The sequence below is a fragment of the Homo sapiens genome, chromosome 16 (assembly GCF_000001405.40).
Source record: "Homo sapiens chromosome 16, GRCh38.p14 Primary Assembly".
Lineage (NCBI taxonomy): Eukaryota > Metazoa > Chordata > Mammalia > Primates > Hominidae > Homo > Homo sapiens.
This window is the reverse complement of record NC_000016.10, coordinates 2,402,969-2,427,949: the sequence shown is the minus strand read 5'-3', so window position 1 is coordinate 2,427,949 and position 24,981 is coordinate 2,402,969. Positions and strand designations below refer to the sequence as shown.

Sequence of the window (24,981 nt, the reverse complement as noted above, 5' to 3'; positions counted from 1 at the left end):
TCAACTAGAGCCAGCCATGAGCACATTAGCCACACCAGCTGCCTCTAGAATCTAGAACAGCATCCTTGGTCCCTAGGTTGTTGTTTAGCTCTATCCTGTGCTTTGTGTCCTGATCACTCTCCTTTCAACATGGACAGGCAAATTTCTTTTTCAGGGAGCAGGAGTTGTCTTGACTGCAGCCATGCCTGCTCTCGCCCCACACCCTGCACTGGCAGTGGGAGCCTCCAGGGCTGCCCTGGGGTGATAAGTGGCTCCTCCAGGGTGTGGGCCCGTTTCCCACTGGGCTTCAGGAAGGTGAGACCTTGTTGGAAAAGTCTAAACTGTTAGGAGCTCAGGGAAATTCCTGGTGGAATGAGGTGTCGGTTGAAAACGTTATGGGTAGTGAGGGGCAGGGGAGAGAAGGGAAAGTGAAGTAGCTTGGGAGCCTGAGAAATCCCACATTCAGAGAAGAAGATGGGCCTTCAGTGGAGGCAGAGAGGGGCATGGGAGGAATGAGAGCTGGATATGGGAGCCCAGGGAGTGGCTTTCATCACAGGGAGCAGTCACCTGAAACGAGGACTGAGGAGGGTGGGTTGGCGACCATGGGTGTGCAACGCCGTTGTTCTGGGCAAGGGGTGCAGGAACCATAGGCAAGGCCTGTGCATGACCCTTTCCTGAGTCCTGGCTGAGAAGGGGCAGAGACCAGCATCTGCACTTCCCAGAGAGGAGCTGAGGGGCCTGTGGCAAGGGGCAGAGTGAACTCCACAGAGAGAGAAAGGCCACGGGATGGAGCCCGTCTCAGAAGAGAGGTGAGTGTACATGACAAAGGCATGTGGCCACATCCATCTGCATCTGGACAGTGTGATGGTCTGGCGCCCATGGGGCCTCTGCTCAGTGGTTCTCATGCTGGAGCTGCGCCAGAGTACCTGCTGTAGGGCTTCTTGCAACATGGATTGCTGGCCCTGCCCCAGGCATTTCTGATTCAGTAAGTTTTGGGTGGGGCCCAAGAACCTACATTTCTAACAAGTTTCCTGATGGTGCTGCTACTGCTGGGACCCCACTGCGAGAACCTCTGCCCCAGTGCAACCCTGGCTCCCCTGTCTGTTGATGTGGGAAGTTACTGGCTGCCTCTAAGCCAGTCTACCCATGTGGGAGGTGGGGCGCTGTCCACTTCATGGGTGGATATAGGATCACATGCAGCCCTAAATTTGCAGGAGCCAGGGAAGAGGATGAAAGCCCACACATCCAAATATTTAAATATTGTGACATCCCGACTTAGGCTAGCAAACTTGTCAATATTTATTTCCTCCTTCCTTCAGAAGAACAGTGACATTACCACCTGTGAGGCCAGGTGTGAGTTTAGAATCATGGTCTCCATGAAGCTTCACTCTTGCATGTGACCATGGGAGCCAGCCCCCAGCGGCCTACGGGCACCCTCCTCTCTGTTTCTGGCTCTATCCTGCTTTCCAAGGGATCTGCACACATGTGTGGAAACCTCCACGCACCCATCCAAACTCTACCCGAAGTTCTGCAGAGCCACTGCTTTGCTGCATCTCGCATCTCAGGGTGCGTTGGGCGGCATGGCCTGCCCTGGGAGGGAGTGCACTGGATGGACAAACCATCTGGGCAGGGGATTCTAGAGAAGGAAGAGCGCAAGCTTTGGGTGAGCATTTCCCTCTGCCCTGCAGACTTCTTGCCCATGAGCAAGGGGATGACCAGGACAGACCCCTTAAGGCCGGGCCTGAGGGTGATGTGATCAAATGACGCAATGCCTGCAGGGGACCAACCACAGAGTTGGCACCTGGTCGGGTCATGGTTAGTACTGTAGTCACCCCATGGCCACCGCCCTTGGAAAGGACATGCAAGATGTTCTGAGGCTGCTTCCACAGCCAGGTCTCAATAAGACCACAGGCTACTCAGGTGGGACTTGGGCATCCCTTTCTAAGGAAACGCACCTGGGTTCTCCAGCGGGCCTCTTAAGTTCTCCAGTGGGCCCCACTCTGCTCCGTGCACTGCAGTTAGGGGGACAGCCCTGTGCTGAGCTAGCTAGGTCGAGAGCTGCCTCTGTACGCCCTGGAAACCCAGGGAAGGCCATGCACACCTGGGCCAACCTGGCACTGGTCTGTCCTTATTACAGCAGGACAGGCTCTGAGGGAGGAGGCAGGGAGGGAGGCCGAGAGAAAAGCTGAGAGGGAGGCAGGGAGGGAGACTGAGAGGAAAGCCGAGAGGGAGGCAGGGAAGGAGGCAGCGAGCACGATGAGGAGCCCACCTGCTCTGCTTGCTCTCGTTGGTCTTCGCTTTGGACCAGGGGCACAGGGCATGCGAAGCTCAGGAAGACGTCCTCCATGGTGACCTGACTGCTGAGTAGTTGTCCAGCATGTACTTCTTGGCTTGCTCCAGAGTGCCAAACACCTGAGGGGAGGGAAGAGGCTGCTGTGGCCAGGCTGTCCCACAGATGCACACGGGGGAGGAGAGAGGGTGGGAAGGGCTGGCCTCCGGGACTGTGACAAGGCCCCAAAGAGGCCCATCCCTCTCTCAGCTGCTCCAGAACACCTCCTGAGAAGTCAGTGCTATGGATCTCAGCTGTCTGTGCTCTTGGGTGGGAGTGGTGTCAGAAGGCCAGAGGCCTGGTGGGGTCCCTGGCTTGCTGTGTGTCCCCAGGCATCTGGTGTTCCCTCTCTGGGCCTGCTCTCCTCTCCATGAAATAAGTGGGCAGGAGGAGCCAATCTTCAAAGTCCCTTCCAGCAGAAACACCTTCTGTTCTATGAAATCCACGTGAACGTTGCCATGGAGATGGCAGAGGACAGGGGCAGCACTGAACATGACTTCAGGAGGATGGGGAGGAGAGAAAGACAGGGAGAGAGAGAGAGAGAGACAGAGTTACCCCAGAAAGTGGGTCACGTCAAAAATGTGCGCTCAACTTCGCCCAGCTGAGGTCGCGGCCCAGCAGATGGTAATGGACCATGCCTTGGTGCTTGTCTTCAAGAACGCTGCCTGCACGAAGGAGAGATGGCGTTGCTGTGACGGCTGGGCTGGAGGATCAGGGAGGGTGCCTGGGTGCTCGGCATTGGGGTCCTCATCCCAGGGATCAGGGAGATGGGACGTGGGAGGGGCGAGGCACAGACTCTCCTCACGGCAGATGGGAAATGCCTAGGCAGGGGCCCAGGGCCCACCCAGTGGGGGCTGCCGGGGCCGGCACACACCTGGAAAGGTCAGGTCCACGAAGGCCTTGAACTCCTCCAGCACCTCCTGCTGCCCTTCACTCTGCACCTTGGCCCGCAGGGAGTAGCCACTGCTGAACTTGCTCTTGAGGTGCTGGGGGCTGCCCAGGCACTTGAACTGCCCCTGCACCATGATGGCCGCCGGCTGCACAGGGCCTCACACTCCTCCATGCTGGGGAGAGGGTGGGGCCTGAGACAGGGCTGGGGGTGTCAAAGGCTCATGCAGACAGGAAGGCGTTGGTGGCCTGATCAGGCCATTCCTGATACCAATGCTCAGAGTGTGGCTCAGGTGCAGAGCCTAGGGAATCTCCTCAAAGACTCTCCACCAGTTGCTGATGGGTCTTCTGGCCACCTGGCTTCTTCCCAGCCTACCTGGTTTTGAAACTTCCAGTGACCCACAGACCCAGGCTCTACCTATGGGAGGTGATGATGATGGCCTTGCCAGACTCGTGGGCGTGTGCCACAGCATTCCAGAACAGGCGCCGGGCCACGGGGTCCATGCCAGTGGATGGCTCATCCAGGAAGATGAAGGCAGGCTCTCCAATCAGGGCGATCAATGCCAGTGCTCAACTTCGGCTTGTTACCACCACCGGGGGTGGAAGGGAGAAGGTTGGGTGACGGCAATGGTCAGTCTCCAGCAGTGAGCACTGCCGGCTCAACACTCACCCCCTTTCCTTCTCTATTCAGGAAGTATTCCCACACCCCTCATGGGGCTTTCAGCAATGCAGTCCACCACTTTCACCCAGAGCTGAATTGTGGCTTGGGCTATCCACTCAGGAAATAACTTGTTCCCCTGGACACAGGGATGAGTCCAGGGTGAGCACACGGCCGACGAGTCTTCTTTGAGGGTTTGAAGTGTTGAGGGCAAGCACCTCTCCATCTGAGAGGAAAGGCATTGGCCCATCTTAGCTAACTTAAAAAAAAAAAACTGGATGGGCATGGTGGCTCACACCTGTAATCCCAGCACTTTGGGAGGCTGAGGCGGGTGGATCACCTGAAGTCAGGAGTTTGAGACCAGCCTGGCCAACATGGTGAAACCCTGTCTCTACTAAAAATACAAAAATTAGCTGGCCGTGTTGGTGGGCACCTGTAATCCCAGCTACTCGGGAGGCTGAGGCAGGAGAATTACTTGAACCCATGAGGCAGAGGTTGCAGTGAGCTGAGATCATGCCATTGCATTTCAGCCTGGGCAACAAGAGTGAAAACTCTAAAAAACAAAACCAAACAAAAAAACCATATAGCATTTACTATGTGCAACACACTGTTCTAAACTTCGCAAATGTGAACTCATTTGATCTTCAGAAGATGCAGGGAAACGTAAAAACCTGCTTGAAACAGGAGCCACCAAAGAGAGAAGACCCAAGGGACATCATCATCTGACCCCGGGCTCACTTTGCTAGAGGCGTGGGCACCTCTACCTCCCAATCCTGGGTGTGCAGTACCGCTGTGTGCCTCCGGGGGCGCTGCACACAACACGAAGGGAGTCCTTGGACCTGCGGGGCCTGTGGCCTTGCTTTAATTGGAGTCGGGCTTCTATCACTGACAACAGAAGCCTGAGAAATACCCCATGCGCCTTAGCAGAACATCAGTAGTTCAAGTACCGCAGACCCAGTGGTATGAGGTAACTCTGGGCTTAAAATGCAAACTTACTGAAAATAGCCCTTCATAAAGTGGCAGGGAGAAAGGTCCGTCCTCACCTTATCAGGACAGTAACACCTGTGGTGCCATCTGCCTGACCTCAGCCACGTAAGCTGCCTTTGGCCTGGGTCAGCTTCATAATCCAGTCAAGCCCAGGACCAAGAGGAAGGGGTGCCTTGAGGCAGCCCAGGCCACTTACCTCTTCCTGCAGGCCGCCCCCAACCACCTGCGCAGTGACCTCATGCCCAGAGCTGGGGGCTTTGCCCTGCTCTCCAGGTCTGGGAAGAACTGGAACTTATCTTGTAACTGGAGGTGGAGGGCCTGAAGGAAGCCCCAGATCTCACCTGTAGGTCTTGACCAGCTTGTTGGCGTACATGTACATGACTAAATCCTCAAGAATCTGGTCCACACAAGCACTGATGGGGTGCTCTGGGATGCCCCCGATCTGGGCATACATGACCAGCATCTCATGGCCTGTCATGAAGTTCAGCAGAGCATCAAACTGAGGACAGTAACCAATCCACCGCCATACCTGGGTCAGAAAACAGCCCGGAGAGGGAGGCACGTCAGAAGAAACCTCCTCCCACCAGGCTCACCAAGCCTCCAATGAGGCAAGGGCCTGGACACCTGCTGGTCTTGCTCCAGGCTGCTGCCTCTGCCACTACCCGCATCTGCCATGTGAATGCACAGGCACACTACTAAGGGGCTGTGAGTGGAAGTAGAGTAATGTAAGGGAGCCTGGGACAGCCCTTGCTGCTGGTGTTGTGGACAGGGTGGAGCGCTTGTTTGGCTCCTCCTCCAGCCCACCCAGTGTGAAACCTCAGCACACAGTGCCTCCCTACTTCCTGGTGCCTTTGAAGCATCCAGTCAATACAAGAGGCTTGCTTTGCTTTTTTCCCCTTTAGAAATATTTTCTATTAGGCATGTAATCTGCAAATAGATTTTCTTTGTAAAATATTCATGCAAAGACTCCTGCAGTCTGTTGGCTCAGCCCACTGTGGCCAGGCAGCTGTGCACCCTCTACACTTCTGTGTTGGCAAAGGCACCTGCGTGGGCCTGTGCTCCTTGCTCAGGACTGGCTGGGTGCTGTTTTTGCCAAATGGTATCATCCCATATCTACCATTCTGTAACATGCTTTTCTTTTTTATTTTCTTTTTTTGAGATGGAGTCTCGCTCTGTCGCCAGGCTGGAGTGCAGTGGCGTGATCTTGGCTCACTGCAACCTCTGCCTCCCAGGCTCAAGCAATTCTCCTGCCTCAGCCTCCTGAGTAGCTGGGTTTACATGTGCACGCCACCACACCTGGCTAATTTTTGTATTTTTAGTAGAGACAGGGTTTCACCATGTTGGTCAGGCTGGTCTCGAACTCCTGGCCTCATGATCTACCTGCCTCAGCCTCCCCAAGTGTTGAGATTACAGGCATGAGTCACCGTGGCCAGCCAACATGCTTTTCTTACTCAATATTATGTCTTAAAGATATTCCTAGGTCAGTAAATACAGATCTACCCCCACTTATTTTAACTGCTTCTTAGTTATCCAGGGAAGGCTTCTAGATTTCATTTAGCTGTTTAAAAATTTCATTTGACTCATTTCCAGGCTTTCGCTTTTATTTATTTATTTTTTTTTTGGGACAGTCTCACTCTGTTGCCCAGGCTGGATTGCAGTGGTGTGATCTCAGCTCACTGCAACCTCTGCCTCCTGGGTTCAAGCCATTCTCCTCTCAGCCCCCTGAGTAGCAGGGGCTACAGGTGCACGCCACTACGCCCAGCTAATTTTTTGTATTTTTAGTAGAGAGGGGGTTTCACCATGTTGGCCAGGCTGGTCTCAAACTCCTGACCTCAGGTTTTTGCCTTTCTGAACTTGCAGCTGACCACCCTGGTTTGTGTCCATGTTCATCTACTCCCAGGTGCTGGAAAGAGTGGGATGCCATTTCTGAGAAGTAACCACTGTTTTTCCCTCCTATTTTCTCCCCTCTTCTCCCTATTCAAACAGCTGGACAACCCTGGGCTCCACTGCCTGAGGTTGGAGGATGGGAAGGATTTTACAGAGTGCAAAACAGAAAACCACATGGAGGCTGGGCACGGTGGCTCACGCCTGTAATCCCAGCACTTTGGGAGGCTAGGCAGGTGGATCACTTGAAGCCAGGAGTTTGAGACCAGCCTGGCGAACATGGCACACACCTGCAATCCCAGCTACTCCGGAGGCTAAGACATAAGAATTGCTTGAACCCAGGAGGCAGAGGTTACAGTGAACTGAGATCATGCCACTGCACTCTAGCCTGGGAGACAGAGGGAGACTCTAAGAAAGGAGGAAGGGGAAGGGGGAGAGGAAGGGGAAGGAAAAGAGAGAGAGGGAGGGAGGGAGGGAGGGAAAGAAAGGAAACCACATGGAGTGTCTGCTTAGTGAAAGAGAGGTAAGGGAGACGGCTGTCAGTGTGGAAGAATGTTACGGAGACCTCACACAACTAAGGGCCCGGCTTTGGTTCCCAGAGTGGGGCTTCCCCCTTTTCCTCCTTCTTTTTATAACAGCTTTATTAAGATACAATGCACATACCACATAATTCACCAATGTGTACAGTTCAACTGCTCTCAGCACGTTCACATCCATCATCACACTCAACTTTAAACACTTCATTGTTCCCAAAAGAAACCCTGTACCCATGAGTAGTCACTCCGCGTTCCCTTTAACACCTCCAGCACCTGACTACCACTAATAAGCTTCCTGTCTCCATGGCTTTGCCTATTCTGGACATTTCATATGAATGGAATCACACAGCATATGATCTGTGTCTGGTTTTCTGGTTCATCCATGTTGTGGTGTATGTCAGTGCTTCATCCCTTTTTATGGCTGAGGAATATTCCATATCATACAGCAAGACCACATGTTGTTTATCCATTCATCTGTTGATGGGCATTTGGGTTGTTTCCACTTTTAGCCACTATGAGTAATGCTTCTATGAACATTCTTTTTTTTTTTTTTTTAAAGGTTATTTATCTTTCAACATAATTCTCACTCAGACAAGAGAATAACCTTTCCTTAATAAGGAACTTACTGTCTTTTTTTTTTTTTTAATTATACTTTAAGTTCTAGGGTACATGTGCACATTGTGCAGGTAAGATACATATGTATACATGTGCCATGCTGGTGCACTGCACCCACTAACTCGTCATCTAGCATTAGGTATATCTCCCAATGCTATCCCTCTCCCCTCCCCCCACCCCACAACAGTCCCCAGAGTGTGATATTCCCCTTCCTGTGTCCATGTGATCTCATTGTTCAATTCCCACCTATGAGTGAGAATATGCGGTGTTTGGTTTTTTGTTCTTGCGATAGTTTACTGAGAATGATGATTTCCAATTTCATCCATGTCCCTACAAAGGACATGAACTCATCATTTTTTATGGCTGCATAGTATTCCATGGTGTATATGTGCCACCTTTTCTTAATCCAGTCTATCATTGTTGGACATTTGGGTTGGTTCCAAGTCTTTGCTATTGTGAATAATGCCGCAATAAACATACGTGTGCATGTGTCTTTATAGCAGCATGATTTACAGTCATTTGGGTATATACCCAGTAATGGGATGGCTGGGTCAAATGGTATTTCCAGTTCTATGAACATTCTTATACAAGTTTCTGTGCGGATGTAGGTTTTTCAGTTCTTTTGGTTATATACCTAGGAATGGAATTGCTGGGTCATATGGTAATTCTATGTTTAACCTTTTGAGTATCCTTTTTGATAATTTTAATCTTTTAACTGGAGTCTTTGTCCACTTATATTTAATGTAAGTACTGATGTTTGGATTTAAATCTAATATATATATATAATATATGTATTTTATATATATATATATATAAAACTTTTTTTTGAGACAAGGTCTCACTCTCTTGCCCAGGCTGGAAGGCAGTGGTGTGATCATGGCTCACTGCAGCTTCAACCTCCTAGGCATAAGTGATCCTCTCAGCTCCCAAGTAGCTGGGACTACAGGCACACACCACTGCACCCGGCTAATTTTTAAATTTATTGTACAGGTGGAGTTTCGCTATGTTGCCCAGGCTAGTCTCAGATTCCTAGGTTCAAGCCATCCTCCCGCCTGGGCCCCCCAAATTACTGGGATTACAGGTGTGAGCCACCATGACTGGCCTAAATCTATCATCTTATTCAGGGCTAGCTAGCCCATATGTTCTATGTTCCTTTTTCTCAATTCTTCGATCATATTATTTTTTTCATTTTTCTATTTTTCCCTTCTATTAGCTTAAAAATATGTACTCCTTTCTCCTATTACATGGGTTGTTCCTTTAGAGATTAAAACACGCATCCTTGACTTAGCAATGGATATCATTAGCTGTTTACCGTATTCATGAGTAAGGTAAGGACCTTAAAATACTTTAACTTCTTTTACCCGCTCCTGACTTAAAGCCATTGTTGTCATGTATTTTACTTTTATATGTATTTTAAACCTCATAAGACATTATTATTATAGCTTTCAGTCAAAACTGACACATCCCCCCCCTTTTTTTTTTTATTTGAGACGGAGTCTCGCCTTGTTGCCCAGGCTGGAGTGCAGTGGTGCAATCTCGGCTCACTGCAAGCTCCACCTCCCAAGTTCAAGCGATTCTCCTCCCTCAGCCTTCCATGTAGCTGGGACTACAGGCGCGTGCTACCACACCCAGCTAATTTTTTTGTAGTTTTAGTAGAGACGGGGTTTCACCGTGTTGGCCAGGATGGTCTCTATCTCCTGATCTCGTGATCCACCTGCCTTGGCCTCCCAAAGTGCTGGGATTACAGGCGTGAGCCACCACGCCCGGCCACACATCTCCCTTTTAAAAACAAAAAAAACAAAAAAACAAAAAAAACAACCACTTGGCCCAGCACGGTGGCTCATGCCTGTAATCCCAGCACTTTGGGAGGCCCAGATGGGCAGATCACGAGGTCAGGAGATCGAGACCATCCTGGCCAACACGGTGAAACCCCATCTCTACTACAAATACAAAAATAACCCGGGCATGGTGACGCGTGCCTGTAATCCCAGCTACTCGGGAGGCTGAGGCAGAAGAATCACTTGAACCCAGGAGGTGGAGGGTGCGGTGAGCCGAGATCACGCCACTGCACTCCAGCCTGGCGACAGAGCGAGACTCTGTCTCAAAAAAAAATAAAAAAAATAAAAAAATAAATAATCACTTTTTACTCCTTTTTTTAACCCTGGGTTCCCAAAGTGCTGGGATTACAGGCATAAGCCACCCCGCCCAGCCATCCTTTCTGTATTTTTTTTTTAATAGGGTCTTGCTCTGTCACCCAGGCTAGAGTGCAGTGGTATGAGCATGGCTTGCCATAACTTCAAATCCTGAGCTCAAGTGAACCTCCTACTTCAGCTTCTGGAGTAGCTGGGCCTACAGGAGCAGGCCACTACACCCAGCTAATTTGTTATTTTTTGTAGAGATGGGGGTCTCACTGTGTTGCCTGGGCTGGTCTCGAACGAACTCCTGGCCTCAAGCAATCCACCTGCCTTAGCTACCCAAAGTGATAGGATTACAGGTATGAGCTCTGCCACCGCACCTAGCCCTTTCTGAATCTTTGAGTTTCCATCTGGGATCATTTTCCTTCTGCCTGAAACTTACTCTTTATTATCTCCTTTTGCATACATCTGCTGGTGATAAATTCTCTCAGCTTCTATTTGTCTGAAGGTCTTTTTAAAAATACCTTCTGGCCGGGTGCTGGTGGCTCACACCTGTAGTCCCAGCACTTTGGGAGGCCGAGGAGGGCAGATCGCCTGAGGGTGGGAGTTCGAGACCAGCCTGGCCAGCATGGTGAAATCCCGTCTCTACTAAAAATACAAAAATTAGCTGGGTGTGGTGGCAGGCACCTGTAATCCCAGCTAATCCGGAGGCTGAGGCAGGATAATCGCTTGAACCCAGGAGGCAGAGGGTGCAGTGAGCCTAGATCATGCCACTGTACCAGCCTGGGCAACAGAGCGAGACTCCATCTCAAACAAACAAACAAACAAACAAAACTTTCTTTCCTAAGTGTAGTTTTATGGGTTACTTTACTCTAGGTAGGTTGTTTCCTCTTATATCACTTACAATGTATCATTCTATTGTCTTCTGGCCTCTATTATTTCTGTGATGGGGCCAGCTGCCAGTGTAACTGTTGCTCTTGTGAAGGGACTCCACGTTTTATCTCTGGGTCCTTTTAAGACTTTTTCTTGTGTTTGGTTTTCAGCAAATTTACTATACTGCTCCTAGGGGCTGATTTCTTTTTGTTATCCTGCTTGGGGCTAATAGGGCTTCATTTGTGATTGATGTCTTTCATACATTTTGAAAAGTTTTAGCCATGTGGTTTCAAATGTTGCCTTGTCTGCCCTTCCTTTTGGAACTTCTGTTACACACATATTAAGCCTTCGCACTGTATCCTTCCTATGTGATTAGTCATATGTTGCTGCATAACAAATTACTCCAAAACGTGGGTGTAATTTGTTATTTCATGGTTTCTATGCATTAGATCAGGAATCTCAGAGCAGCTTAGTTAGGTGGTGCTGGTCAGGGTCTCTCATGGGGTGCTGCTAACCTGTCAGTTGGGCTGGAAGTCTCCTGAAGGCTAAAGGAGCTGTTTCCAAGTGGCTGGCAGGTCTCAGGTACTTTCTGACTGCTCCTCAGCACACAGACCTCTCTGCAGGGCCACCTAGGTGTCTGCATGACATGGCAATGGCACTTAGCTTCCCTCAGAGTGAGTGTGCTGGTTAATTTTTTTTTTTTTTGAGGCGGAGTCTCGCTCTGTGGCCCAGGCTGGAGTGCGGTGGCGTGATCTCTGCTCACTGCAAGCTCCGCCTCCCGGGTTCACGCCATTCTCCCGCCTCAGCCTCCCGCCTCTGCCTCCCGAGTAGCTGGGACTACAGGCACCCACCACCATGCCCGGCTAATTTTTTGTATTTTTAGTAGAGATGGGGTTTCACTGTGTTAGCCAGGATGGTCTCCATCTCCTGACCTCGTGATCCGCCTGCCTCAGCCTCCCAAAGTGCTGGGATTACAGGCGTGACCCACCACGCCCCGCCAGGGGTGCACTTTTAAAATTTAATAAATAGTGCCAAATTGTCCTCCAAAAAGCTTGATCTTACCAATAGCCTATGGGGATGCCTATTTCCGATTCTGTTGATAATACTAGATATTATCTGTCTATAAATCCTTAGGTAAAATTAGGCATATTTTCATATGGTTATTAGGCACTGGATGTTTTTTCTTCTATGAATAGCCCATTTATTTCTTCAGCCCATTTTTTACTAACAAATTGTTCATATTTTCTCACTGATTTATATGATGGAGATATATATATATGTGTGTATGTATATATATGTATGTGTCTTTGTCCTTTATGTATGTGTCAAGTATTTCCGTTATTTAACATCAGTTAATGTGTCTTTTCTTATATAGACTTGAATGTTTATGTATTTAAATATTATATACTACTTTGTCGTTTCTGGGTTTCATGGCAAGCTCTGGAGGGTCTTCCACATCATAAAGGTAGAAAACTATACTTCTGAGCCAGGCACGGTGGTGTGCACCTGTATAGTTCCAGCTATTCAGGAGGCTGAGGTGGGAGGACTGGTTGAGTCCAGGAGTTCTAGGCTGCAGTGAGCCATAATTGCACCACTGCACTCCAGCCTGGGCAACAGAGCAAGACCTTCTTTCTTAAAAAAAAAAAATGAGGGGAGGGGCCCAAAGGTTGTTTGAAAGTCTGTGCTGGGCATGTGGCCACAGGAATCCTGACTGTCCCCTAGCAGGTGGTTACATTGTTCTCTACCACCCACCAGCACTGATTATCAGGGAACATGCTGCTCCAGCAGCCCCCGAAGGCACCCTCCCTTTGGACAGAGGCCAAGTCTGTTTGCTGCTCTTTTCTGGGGAATCTATAGGAGAATCACGTGAACCTGGAAGTTTGAGACCAGCCTAGGCAAAATAGCAAGACCCCCATCTCTACTAAAATACAAAAATTAGACTGGCATGGTGGCACCTGCCTGCAGTTCCAGGGAAAAAGTGAAACCTTACCTCTAAAAAAAAGGAAAAACTATTCACCAGTCATGGTGGCATGCGCCTGAAATCCCAGCTACTTGGGAGGTTGAGGCAGGAGAATTGCTTGAACCAGGAGGTGGAGGTTGCAGTGAGCTGAGATTGTGCTACTGCACTCTAGACTGGGTGACAGAGCAAGACTCCATCTCAAAAAAAAAAAAAAAAAAGAAAAGAAATTGAATTTGTAGTTAAAAATCTTCCACCAAAACAGAAACTTTTGTCTTTTCAACAAATGGCACTGGGACAATTACACATATATGCAAAAGAATGAATTTGGATCTCTACCTAACACCATATAAAAAATTAAAATGAATCAAAGGCCTAAATGTAAGAGCTAAAACTCAGCCGGGCGCAGTGGCTCATGCCTGTAATCCCAGCACTTTGGGAGGCCGACGCAGGCGGATCACGAGGTCAGGAGATCGAGACCATCCTGGCTAACATGGTGAAATCCCGTCTCTACTAAGAATACAAAAACAAAATTAGATGGGCGTAGTAGCAGGCAGGTGCCTGCTACTCGGTAGTCGCAGCTACTCAGGAGGCTGAGGCTGGAGAATGGTGTGAACCCGTGAGGTGGAGCTTGCAGTGAGCCAAGATCCCGCCACTGCACTCCAGCCTGGGTGACAGAGCAAGACTCCATCTCAAAAAAAAAAAAAAAAAAAAAAAGCTAAAACTCTTAGAAGAAAATGTAGAGGTAAAACTTCCCTATCTTGCATAAGGCAATAATTTCTTAAATCAAAAACACAAAAGAGAAAAGAATAGATAAATTGGTCTTTGTCATAATTTCATAATTAAAAGCTTTTGTTCATCAAGGGACACTGTCAAGAAAGTGAAAAGACAACCTGCAATATAGGAGGAAATATTTGAAAATGATATATTTGACAAGGTCTAGTATCCAACTTTGTAAAGAATTATTGGCTGGGTGTGGTGGCTTATGCCTGCAAGCATTTTGAGAGGCCGAGGTAGGAGGATTGCTTGAGGCCAGGAGTTCGAGACCAGCCTGGGCAACATAGTGAGACTACTGTCTCTACAAAAAATTAAAAAATTAGCCGGGCACAGTGGCATGCACCCGTAGTCCCAGCTACACAGGAAGCTGAGGTGGGAAGATGGTTTGAGCCCAGGAGGTCGAGTCTGCAGTAAGCCGTGATTATGCCATTACACTCCAGCCTGGATGACAGAGTAAGACCTGTCCAAAAAAAAAAAAAAAAAAAAAAAAAAATTTTTACAACTTCCTGATAAAAAGAAAAAAGACAAATAACCTAATTAAAAATGGAGGAGGGATTTGACTAAATAGCTCTCCCAAGAAGATATACAAATAGCCAATAAGCACATGAAAAGATGCTCAACATCATTAGTCATTAGGAAAACAAAGACCAAAACCACAATGTGATACTAATTTATACTCATTAGAATAGCTATAATAATTTTTTTTAAAAAGAGATGGGGTCTTGCTATGTTGCCCAAGCTGGCTTCAAGCTCCTAGACTCAAGCGATCCTCCCACTTCAGCTGGGACTACAGATTGAACAGCTGGGACTACAGATGCATGCCACTGTACATGGCTTTATAATACAATTTTTAAAAGGAATTTAAAAATGTTGGAAAAGGGGGCATAAAATTACCACCAGACCTGCCCTATAAGAAATGTTGAAAGGAGGTCAGGCACAGTGGTGCATGCCTGTAATCCCAGCTACTCAGGAGGCTGAGGCAGGAGAATCGCTTGAACCCAAAAGGCAGAGGTTGCAGTGAGAGCTGAGACTGCACCACTGCACTCCAGCCTGGGAGACAGAGTAAGACTCCGTCTAAAAAAAAAAAAAAAAAAAGAAAAAAGAAAAAAAATTGATAAATGAAATTTCATGCTATGTATATTGTACTATAATTTAAAAAGTAAATAATTTTTTAAAGCGTTGGAGAGGATGTGGACAAACTGGAATCCTCAGACTTTGCTGGTAGGAATGTAAAATGGTTCAGCTAATGTAGAAAACAGTTTTGTAGTTCCTCAAAATGCTAAACACAGTTACCATATGACCTAGCAAATATAGTCTTGGTATATACCCAAGAGAACTGAAAACATGTTCACATAAAAACTCATATCCAAATGTTTATAATACTGTTATTCGTAATAGCAAAAGCAGAAACAACCCACATGTCCATCAACAGATGAAAAGATAAATTGTGGTGAAACCATACAATGGACTAACATTCAGCTACGCAAAGGGATGGAGCACTGACACCTCTTACAACATGGATGAACCTTGAAAACATTATTCTAAGTACAAGCAGACAGACACAAAGCTCACACATTGTATTATTCCATTTATGTGAAATATCCAGAACAAGCAAATTCATAACAGCAGGAAGCAGATTAGTGATTGCGAGGGGCTGGGGGAAGAAGGGAATGGGGAGTGACTGTTAATGGGTATAGGGTTTCCTTTTGGAGTGATGAAAATTTTCTAGAATTAGATAGTGGGGAAGGTTACTCTGCATATACCAAAAACCACTGACTTGTAAATTTTATTCTTTTTAAAAAAACTCTTATCTCATGACAGATTACTGACTTGTAAGCTTTAAAAGGGCATATTTTATATGAATTATGTTTCAACAAAAATGTAATTAACAAATTCCATTTACAATACTCACAGACTTCATTACACTCAATATCACTCAGGTTCTTGACACTGCAAAACCTCTGTAGTTCAGAGTTGTAATATAAGTTGGTGAAAGCCATCCCCAGGCAGTGCCCTGGAAGTATTAGGAATGTATAATCCAAGGATTTTGAGATTGTTGCATAGCCTAGCTATGCGAAGAGAATAGAAAATATTAACTCTGCTTGCAGGAAGAAAAGGGCATATCTTCTATTATCTATCCTAACCCACGTTATTGTATATCCATCATTACAACATCAGACTCCCAGGCCTCCAGACCAGAAAACTGGTTCTCCCTGACTCCTCTTCCTCTATAGTCATTCAACCTCTAAGACCTAAGTATCTTTCTTCTGCTATGCTCCTCGAATCTGTCACTTTACTTCTTTCCAATTGTTCACGCGGGAGGATCTGCAAGAACACGGTGTGTGTGGGAAAATCAGGAGCACAGCCGCAGCATGGGCTGCATCTGCGGAGGTGGGGGAGCTGAGGGCAGAGGGAAATGAGGTTTACAGGTGATCTGCGTCCAGATAGCAGGGGTGAATTGCCGGCTCCCAAGTTGTTTGAGTGTCATCTTCCAGATGATAAGGAGGATGCAGTTCCTGCCTCTATAGTTTGTGGAGATAAAACTATCACCAAGAGTCCCTTAGGAGACAGAATGACTCCCAAGTTAAAAGCAGAGGGGACTGGGCACGGTGGCTCACGCCTGTAATCCCAGCACTTTGGGAGGCCGAGACAGGTGGATCACGAGGTCAGGAGATCGAGACCATCCTGGCTAACACAGTGAAACCCCGTCTCTACGAAAAATACAAAAAATTAGCTGGGCGTGGTGGCGGGTGCCTGTAGTTCCAGCTCCTCAGGAGGCTGAGGCAGAAGAATGGCGTGAACCTGGGAGGCGGAGCTTGCAGTGAGCCGAGATCGCACCACTGCACTCCAGCCTGGGCCACAGAGCGAGACTCCGTCTCAAAAAAAAAAAAAAAAAAAAAAGTCAATCCTAAACACTTGAGAAAGAATATCAGAATCTGAATTTTAAAAGTGAGGTGTTAGAAATACCGCATGGGCACTTCCCTTCTGCTCATCTGCACATGCAGACATGAACAAGCTCTAAACTCTGCTCTCCAGGAGCTGCCCTGGAAATCAGTGGTACAGTGTAGTGTGATAAGGGGTTCAGAGATGCTCACAAAACACACAGGCAGAACAAAGCAGGAGGCGGTCCATTCTGCATAAAATAACCAGGGAGCTGAAAATTACTCAATGCAACCACAATTAAGTACTTCAACCCATCAGTACCCTGGTGAGGTATTTCTGGACAATAAACATATGTCCCCAAAGTACTGCCCCTTACTAGCTTGAAGTAGCAATTCTTGGGGGGGCCACATGGAGACCCTGAAGCAGATCCCTCTGCTCCTAACAAAGCTGGGAACTTGAGTCTTCTTCTGCCAAGGGATGAGGGAGATCTCACACCCTGTGTCCCCACTGGGGCAGAGCTGCCAACCTAGACTTCCTAGCTGGTTCCGGTTCTGGGCAGGGGTCCCCAGGAAAAGCTGCCTGTGATATGCAGCTGAAGAATCCCAGCACCCTCCAGCACTCACCACCAGCAGCAGACTGGGAATGAGGAAGGAGATGAGGTCCCATAGCAGAGTGGAGAGCCAGAAAGTGGCCACATAAACTCCATTGATAAACTGGACAAGCTTGGCCTTAACGCGCCTCTCTCTGACTGTCAACATGGAAAAAGAGCTAGACAGGAAAGCTAATCCAAAAAGCAAGTTGATAACAAGGTAATGTCCTTTAGGTTCCCTGTAAAAGACGGGACATAAGGAGAGAGATAGCAGAGTAAGTGGAACTGCTAATAACAACCATCTCCCAAAATAACAATTTGTAATTAAAACAAGAGGCAAAGACAGAAACAGGTGGGAAAGGGTGGAACCCTACAGAGGTGTAGATAGAGAGAAGAAAATTCACACATACTGATACAGGAAATTCTCTGAATCCTCCCTGGCTGGCTGAGGTTGAGGGTGGTTGGCTGCGGTAATGGAAGCCCTGGCACCAGAAAGCAACTTCAAGAGAAAATTGTCCAATAGCGCCAGAGCCAGGGCAGAAGAATGGTATGCCTGGTTGTTGAACAGCGCTGTCACTATGGTGTGATTTCCCACGTCTTCAAAGGAAGCTGCCACTAAGTAGAGCTTATCAAAGTCCTCAGGCTCCTCTTTTGCCTTTTTCAATAGGAACTCATCTACAGAACCTAGAAGGGAACAAAATATCCACCAGGACGAGTGTCACACCAGGCCCACTGGGATGGGGAGAACTCACTATCAGTCTCCCACAACCTGCTGCTCCTCCTAGGTACTTCATCACTAACCTCCACCGACCTCTAAAAGCAGGCCTCCTCCCACCACTCTGCCCTGAATTCCAGTTACTCTTGGAGTCTTGTCTATTCTTCCTTTATTTTATTTATTTATTCGTATTTTTAGAGAGGGAGCCTTGTTCTGTTCCCCAGGCTGGAGTGCAGTGATGTGATCATAGCTTACTGCAGCCTTGACCTCCTGGGCTCAAGTGATCCTCCTGCCTCAGCCTCCCAAAGTGTTGAGATTACAGGTGTGAGCCACTGTGCCTGGCTCTATTAATCTTTTAAGTCTCTTCCAATTGTCTGCTTCTTTCCTTCCCACTGCCTCAACTGGGTCTGGATCTCATTATCTGTGCCTGGATTATGTAGCCCTCAATGAAGAGCTCGCTTTTTTTTTTTCGAAACAGAGTCTCACTCTATTGCCCAGGCTGGAGTGCAGTGGTGCCATCTTGGCTCACTGCAACCTCTGCCTCCCAGTTTCAAGCAATTCTCCTGCCTCAGCCTCCCGAATAGCTGTGACCATAGTTGTGCGCCAGCAAGCCCAGCTAATTTTTGTATTTTTAGTAGAGACAGGGTTTCACCATTTTGGCCAGGCTGGCCTTGAACTCCTGGCCTCAAGTGATCTGCCCAGCTCAGCTTCCCAAAGTGCTGGGATTACAGGCGTGAGCCACTGCACCTGGCCAGATCTTGCCTTCTATCTGGCACCTCCGGTTTCTGTTTGAAAGGACACATCTGGCCATAATGCGCCCCACCAATTAACTTGCAGTGGCTCTCCACTGTCCTCACGACAAAGCCAAATTCCTCCACATGAGGTACAGACCCCATCACTATCCAAACTCAGCCTCACGTCTTTTAGCTCCAGCCAAACCTAAGGACTTACAGTGCCCCATGCTTACAAATGCTCTTCTTGTTGTTTGGAATGTTCTCTGGGTTACTTTTCCCTTCTATTTGTCAATGCCTACTCATACCGTGGGCTCTTACTCTGGAGCCTACTCTGACCCTCCATGACTGAGATATGTCTGTGTAATTCCACAGTATTCCAATCGCAGTCACTGTCACTTTGTATTGTAACTATCACTTCTGCATAAGGCCTCAGGTAATGATGCTGTTCATTACTGTATTCCCAGCACACAGTGCCAAGTCAAATATACAACCCACCTAGAGTCCAGAAATCTAAACTCTTTAGTGCTGAAGGGACCTTCAATCATAATGACAACAACAATAGTACCAGCACCACTGTCTGAGTGCTCACTGGGTGCACCTGTGCAAAGCACTTAACAAGCACTCACTCACGAAATCACCCAATGATACTGTGAGGTGAAGTCTGTCTTCTCCCCATTTGGAGTATGAAGAAACCAAGGCTTAGAGAGGCAGGGTGTTATGATCCCAACCATTTTGTTACATCATGTTCTGCATTTGAAATCTTTATTTTAAAAAAGTAATTACTTTAAAATGTTATTTAATCAAAATAATGCGTGAATATAATTTTAAAAATCAAATAGCTATACAAGAAACAGCAGTGCTCTGCCCTAGCCCTGAGCCTCCCCAATGGCTGTTCACCAGAAGCAACCCTTTTCCCATCTTTTACCTGGTGTTTCTCCACATTGCTAAACAGCACATCACCTAGCTGTTGATGTTTCATGATGGAAGCAAGGATTGTGTTCTCTTACAAGTATCCTCTCTTACAACCCCCACAGACTTCCTCCCACTAGAGTTACATCATGATTTTCGCTAAATCAATAGTCAGTTTTGGTTTTTTGTTTTTTTTGAGACGGAGTCTCGCTCTGTTGCCCAGGCTGGAGTGCAGTGGCGCAATCTCGGCTCACTGCAAGCTCCGCCTCCCAGATTCACGCTGTTCTCCTGCCTCAGTCTCCCGAGTAGCTGAGACCACAGCTGCCCGCCACCACGCCTGGCTAATTTTTTGTATTTTTAGTAGAGATGGGATTTCACCGTGTTAGCCAGGATGGTCTTGATCTCCTGAACTCGTGATCCGCCCGCCTCAGCCTCCCAAAGTGCTGGGATTACAGGCGTGAGCCACTGCACCCGGCCAATAGTCAGTTTTGAGATTATGATGACTAAGCAAAAATTATTTACAACTGAACCAAGTAGTATGTTATGTTTTGTTGTACAACTTTTCCCCCTGAAGTTAATAATATTCTCCTTTTCTCATTTGCCTAGTTTTCTTTATATCTATCACCACTTCGTCCATAAACTCCCTTGATAGAAGTGTAGATCTTGACCGGGCGTGGTGGCTCACGTCTGTAATCCCAGCACTTTGGGAGGCTGAGGTGGGTGGATCACAAGGTCAGGAGTTCAAGACCAGCCTGGCCAATAAGGTGAAACCCCTTCTCTACTAAAAATACAAAAATTACCCAGCCACAGTGGCATGCACCTGTAATCCCAGCCACTCGGAAGGCTGAGGCAGGAGAACTGCTTGAACCCGGGAGGCAGAGGTTGCAGTGAGCCGAGATGGCACCACTGTACTCCAGCCTGGGCAATGGAGCAAGACTCCATCTAAAAAAAAAAAAAAGTGTAGCTGTCCTTTCAATACAATTCAAACATATTGAATAGTTTCTCAATTTTATTTTGGGGGGCTGGGTGCAGTGGCTCATGCCTGGAATCCCAGAACTTTGGGAGGCCGAGGCAGGCAGATCACTTGAGATCAGCAGTTCAAGACCAGCCTGGCCAATCTGGTGAAACCCCTTCTCTACTAAAAATACAAAAATTAGCCGTGTGTGGTGGCAGGTGCCTATAGTCCCAGCTACTCGGGAGGCTGAGGCAGAATTGCTTGAACCCAGGAAGTGGAGGTTGCAGTGAGCCGAGATCATACCCTTGCACTCCAGCCTGGGCATTGCAGCAAGACTCCATCTCAAACACATACACACACACACACACACACACACACACACACACACACACACACACACACAGCTATAATTTTATTTGGGGGCATGATTTCATTCCTAGAAAGACACATACTTGGTCTTATTTCTAGGGACTCTACCTTTCTTGTCATTTGGGGTTTGAAATACGGTTTTCTGAGATTTCTGGCTATTTATTTCTAACTTCAGAGAGCACCACGTGGCCCACCAGCACACAGCTTCACTACAAAGAACAACAGGATTGTTTCATGCCCCATTTTCCTGGGCCTGGTACATACTTACCTAGGACCTCCAGAGGAATCTGTCCCTCAACCATAAACATATTTGCAAAGCGTTCTGAAAGTTGAGGATCCAGCCTGGAATTCTGAGAAATAAAGAAAGGAACAATGGTCTGACCATATGTTTTCAGAGTCAGCTCCAATGGGACATTTTCTATGCTTCTTTCTTTGAAGTTGAAGAATGTGAGGCTTAACATGATGATCACCAGAGGGACCAGGATCTGTATTGATAACATCAACATCCAGTTGTGTTAAGAATATGTGACCTTTTTCAGGAGCATGGCATAAAATTGTTGGCAGAGAAGACTGAACTACAATAAAAAAATAAAAGGGAAACACACCATTAACACGGTCACAGATAGAAGCTGGAGGCACTGAAGTGGCCCCTGGCTCATGCCCATTTGCACTCCCTGATACTACATATAACTAACTTTTCTTTCTTTTTTTTTTTTTTTTTTTTGAGACGGAGTCTCGCTCTGTCGCCCAGGCTGGAGTGCAGTGGTGCGATCTTGACTCACTGCACGCTCTGCCTCCCGGGTTCACGCCATTCTCCAGCCTCAACCTCCCAAGTAGCTGGGACTACAGGCGCCCGCCACCACGCCTGGCTAATTTTTTGTATTTTTAGTAGAGATGGGGTTTCACCGTGTTAGTTAGGATGGCCTTGATCTCCTGACCTCGTGATCCACCCGCCTCAGCCTCCCAAAGTGTTGGGATTACAGGCGTGGCCTCCCAAAGTGCTGGGATTATAGGCGTGAGCCACTGCTCCCGGCCTTAATTTTTCAATTATATTCAAAATTTGCTTCAAGTTAGAAGTCTTTTTTTTTTTTTTTCAGACGGAGTCTCACTCTGTCGCCCAGGCTGGAGTGCAATGGTGCAATCTTGACTCACTGCAAGCTCCTCCTCCCAGGTTCACGCCATTCTGCCTCAGCCTCCCAAGTAGCTGAGGGACAACAGGCGCCTTCCACCATGCCCGGCTAATTTTTTTAATTTTTATTTTTAGTAGAGATGGGGTTTCACCATATCAGCCTGACCTCATCTCCTGACCTCATGATCCACCTGCCTTGGCCTCCCAAAGTGTTGGGTGGGATTACTGGCGTGAGCCACCACGCCCGGCCAGAACTCTTTGAACTTATGATTTTTGTTTTGTTTTGTTTTGTTTTGAGACCAGGTCTGACTCTGTCAGCCAGGCTGGAGGGCAGTGGTGTGATCTTGGCTCACTGAAGCCTTGACCTCCTGGGCTCAAGTGATCCTTCTGCCTCAGCCTCCCTAGTAGCTGGGACTAGAGGCGTGCACCACCGTGCCTGGCTAATTTTTTATTTTTTGAAGAGATGGGGTCTTATTTTGCCTCCTGTATGAGACAGGTGGCTGACTTAGTTGACCCCAAGACCTTTCCCAACTTGGAGGCTCAGTGGATGACAGCTTCCTAGTAATTGTGTGATTCAAGGTTATGAAACAATAAAGTTAATCTCTTGACTAACTCACAAAAGTCAGTCTTATTTTACATTAATACTTGTGGATAGCTAAATCAAGAACACTTCATAAAATGAACCTCGATATTTCTTTTTTTTTTTTTTTCAGACGGAATTTTGCTCTCATTGCCCAGGCTGGAGTGCAATGGCACGATCTCGGCTCACTGCAACCTCCGCCTCCCAGGTTCAAGCAATTCCCCTGCCTCAGCCTCCCAAGTAGCTGAGATTACAGGCATGTGCCACCACACCCAACTAATTTTTTATTTTTAGTAGAGACGGGGTTTCTCCATGTTGGTCAGGCTGGTCTCAAACTCCCGACCTCAGGTGATCTGCCTGCCTCAGCCTCCCAAAGTGCTGGAATTACAGGCATGAGCCACTGTGCCCGGCCACAAACCAATATTCCTTTTTTTTTTTTTTTTAAGATGGAGTCTTGCTCTTGTCGCCCAGGCTAGAGCCTTGGCTCACTGTCACTGTAACCTCTGCCTCCAGGGTTCAAGTAATTCTCCTGCCTCAGCCTCCCGAGTAGCTAGGATTACAGGCACCCACCACTATGCCAGGCTAATTTATATATATATATATATATATATATATATATATATATATATATATATATATATATATATTTTTTTTTTTTTTTTTTTTTTTTTTTAGTAGAGACAGGGTATCACCATGTTAGCCAGGCTGGTCTCGAATTCCTGACCTCAGGTTATCCACTCACCTCAGCCTCCCAAAGTGCTGGGATTACAGGTATAAGACACCATGCCCAGCCCAATATCCTTTTTTCAACATTAAAAGAACATTACAGGTTGTCCATATATTTCATAAGGATGTATTTTTAAAAATTTTAAATTCCAAGTGATATAATAGATGATCTGTTTCATAGTGAAAGATACATGCTTTTTGGCTAGCAGATTTAGTACTTTTATTCTATCTTCTTCCTGGTCAGAGGAATGGCCAAGACCTCTACTATAATCTTCTATGATCCCTTCTTACACTGGGTTAATCCTATCCAGACCATCACCCTTCGCCTTTGAACTACAGCAGAGACTGTGATAGTGTCAAAACCTGGCACAGCCAATCTTTTATGCTTAAAATGTGCACGTTTTTTCTTAAAACCCTGTAAAAGGCTGATGTAACTTCTTGACAGAATGACAGTATATTTCCAAGAATTAAACCAATATGTGCTTTCTTGCATACATTTTGAACAGTTATTTACCCCAGTGTTTGGTTTGATTGGCAGCCCAGTCCGTATTGAGAAGGTCCTCGAATGAAGATGTTTAATTCTGTCAACAGGAATTCTGCTAAGCAGGGCTGGGGATGGATAGAGGGATGTTTGATGTTTGGGACAGCTGTACTGGCATCTGCCAACATACAAACCCTAAACCAAACCAAAAGCAAAAACAAATTCTTAAAATCATGGCAAAGTTCATTTTGTTTGGATTTAAAGAATGAAAGTAATATGATATTTGAAAAAACTAAGTTAGGATAAGAATAATGGGCCAGGCGTGGTGGCTCACTCCTGTAATCCCAGCACTTTGGGAGGCCGAGGCGGGCGGATCACGAGGTCAGGAGATTGAGACCATCCTGGCTAACATGGTGAAACCCTGTCTCTACTAAAAATACAAAAAAATTAGCCAAGCATGGTGGCGGGTGCCAGTAATCCCAGCTACTGAGGAGGCTGAGGCAGGAGAATGGCATGAACCCAGGAGGCGGAGGTTGCAGTGAGCCAAGATTGTGTCACTGCACTCCAGCCTGGGCCACAGAGCAAGACTCCGTCTCAAAAAAAAAAAAAAGGATAAGAATAATGAGGAAAAAAAGCTGCATCTAGATTATATATAGTGGGTAGCAAGTATATACTGGCTATAAACAGGATAGCAAGGTCTTAATAAGTCCTAAGTATTGAGTTAACTAACCAATGGCTTTTCCAAATAACTGAGGCAACACTAGTATGAATAGATTTTGTCATTTTCCCTAAAAGATTCTATATGCAAATTAAAACAAAATGATACATTATTTAATATCTATTTCATAAGCAAAACTGAAAATTATAAAACAGAGTTCTGTTGAGACTCTAGGCCAGGAATTGGTAAACAATGGCCAGTGGGCCATATCCAGCCCAAGAGATTCTGAGTTCAGAATGAACTATGGTTGATTCTGAGCTATATATATGTTATATTTACACTATGTAGGCTTAGCAGCATAATCAAGGATATTATGTAATTATATAATGATCTAACATAACCATAAACATTGAAACACACATATACAAATATATACTTGTGTGTGTATGTGTGTGTGCATGTGTATATATATATATAGTATATACTGGCTACAAACTGTCTAGCAAAGTCTTTTCTTTTTTTTTTGAGACGCAGTCTCGCTCTGTCACCCAGGCTGGAGTGCAGTGGCGTGATCTTGGCTCACTGCAAGCTCTGCCTCCCGGGTTCATGCCATTCTCCTGCCTCAGCCTCCCGAG

General features: G+C 46.9%; 1 pseudogene across 1 annotated transcript in view, besides 4 other annotated features; it reads right to left on the bottom strand.

The window, feature by feature from the left end:
- Positions 1–1,250: 1,250 nt before the first annotated feature.
- Positions 1,251–24,981, bottom strand: part of ABCA17P (ATP binding cassette subfamily A member 17, pseudogene) — an 85,778-nt pseudogene continuing 62,047 nt past the window's right edge. The window contains exons 10-17 of the transcript NR_003574.1: positions 23,722–23,883; positions 21,041–21,347; positions 17,501–17,774; positions 17,125–17,329; positions 5,183–5,370; positions 3,183–3,372; positions 2,864–2,973; positions 1,251–2,391 (exon numbers count right to left, since the gene is read on the bottom strand). The product of NR_003574.1 is annotated as an ATP binding cassette subfamily A member 17, pseudogene (transcript). The remainder of the gene's footprint in view (positions 2,392–2,863; positions 2,974–3,182; positions 3,373–5,182; positions 5,371–17,124; positions 17,330–17,500; positions 17,775–21,040; positions 21,348–23,721; positions 23,884–24,981) is intronic.
- Positions 3,259–3,371: an enhancer, noted in NCBI's record as "conserved acetylation island sequence C01". NCBI's record gives its function as "activates a minimal heat-shock promoter by reporter assays in Jurkat T cells {active_cell/tissue: Jurkat}" and the evidence as "EXISTENCE:reporter gene assay evidence [ECO:0000049][PMID:17135569]".
- Positions 4,495–5,260: an enhancer, noted in NCBI's record as "H3K4me1 hESC enhancer chr16:2472691-2473456 (GRCh37/hg19 assembly coordinates)". NCBI's record gives its function as "activates a minimal SCP1, AML or CMV promoter by ChIP-STARR-seq in primed H9 embryonic stem cells {active_cell/tissue: H9 hESC(primed)}" and the evidence as "EXISTENCE:reporter gene assay evidence [ECO:0000049][PMID:30033119]".
- Positions 4,528–4,822: a silencer, noted in NCBI's record as "tiled region #9505; K562 Repressive DNase unmatched - State 8:EnhW". NCBI's record gives its function as "represses a minimal TATA promoter and a strong SV40 promoter by Sharpr-MPRA in K562 cells {active_cell/tissue: K562}" and the evidence as "EXISTENCE:reporter gene assay evidence [ECO:0000049][PMID:27701403]".
- Positions 5,542–5,591: an enhancer, noted in NCBI's record as "active region_10265". NCBI's record gives its function as "activates an Ori minimal core promoter by ATAC-STARR-seq in GM12878 lymphoblastoid cells {active_cell/tissue: GM12878}" and the evidence as "EXISTENCE:reporter gene assay evidence [ECO:0000049][PMID:35858748]".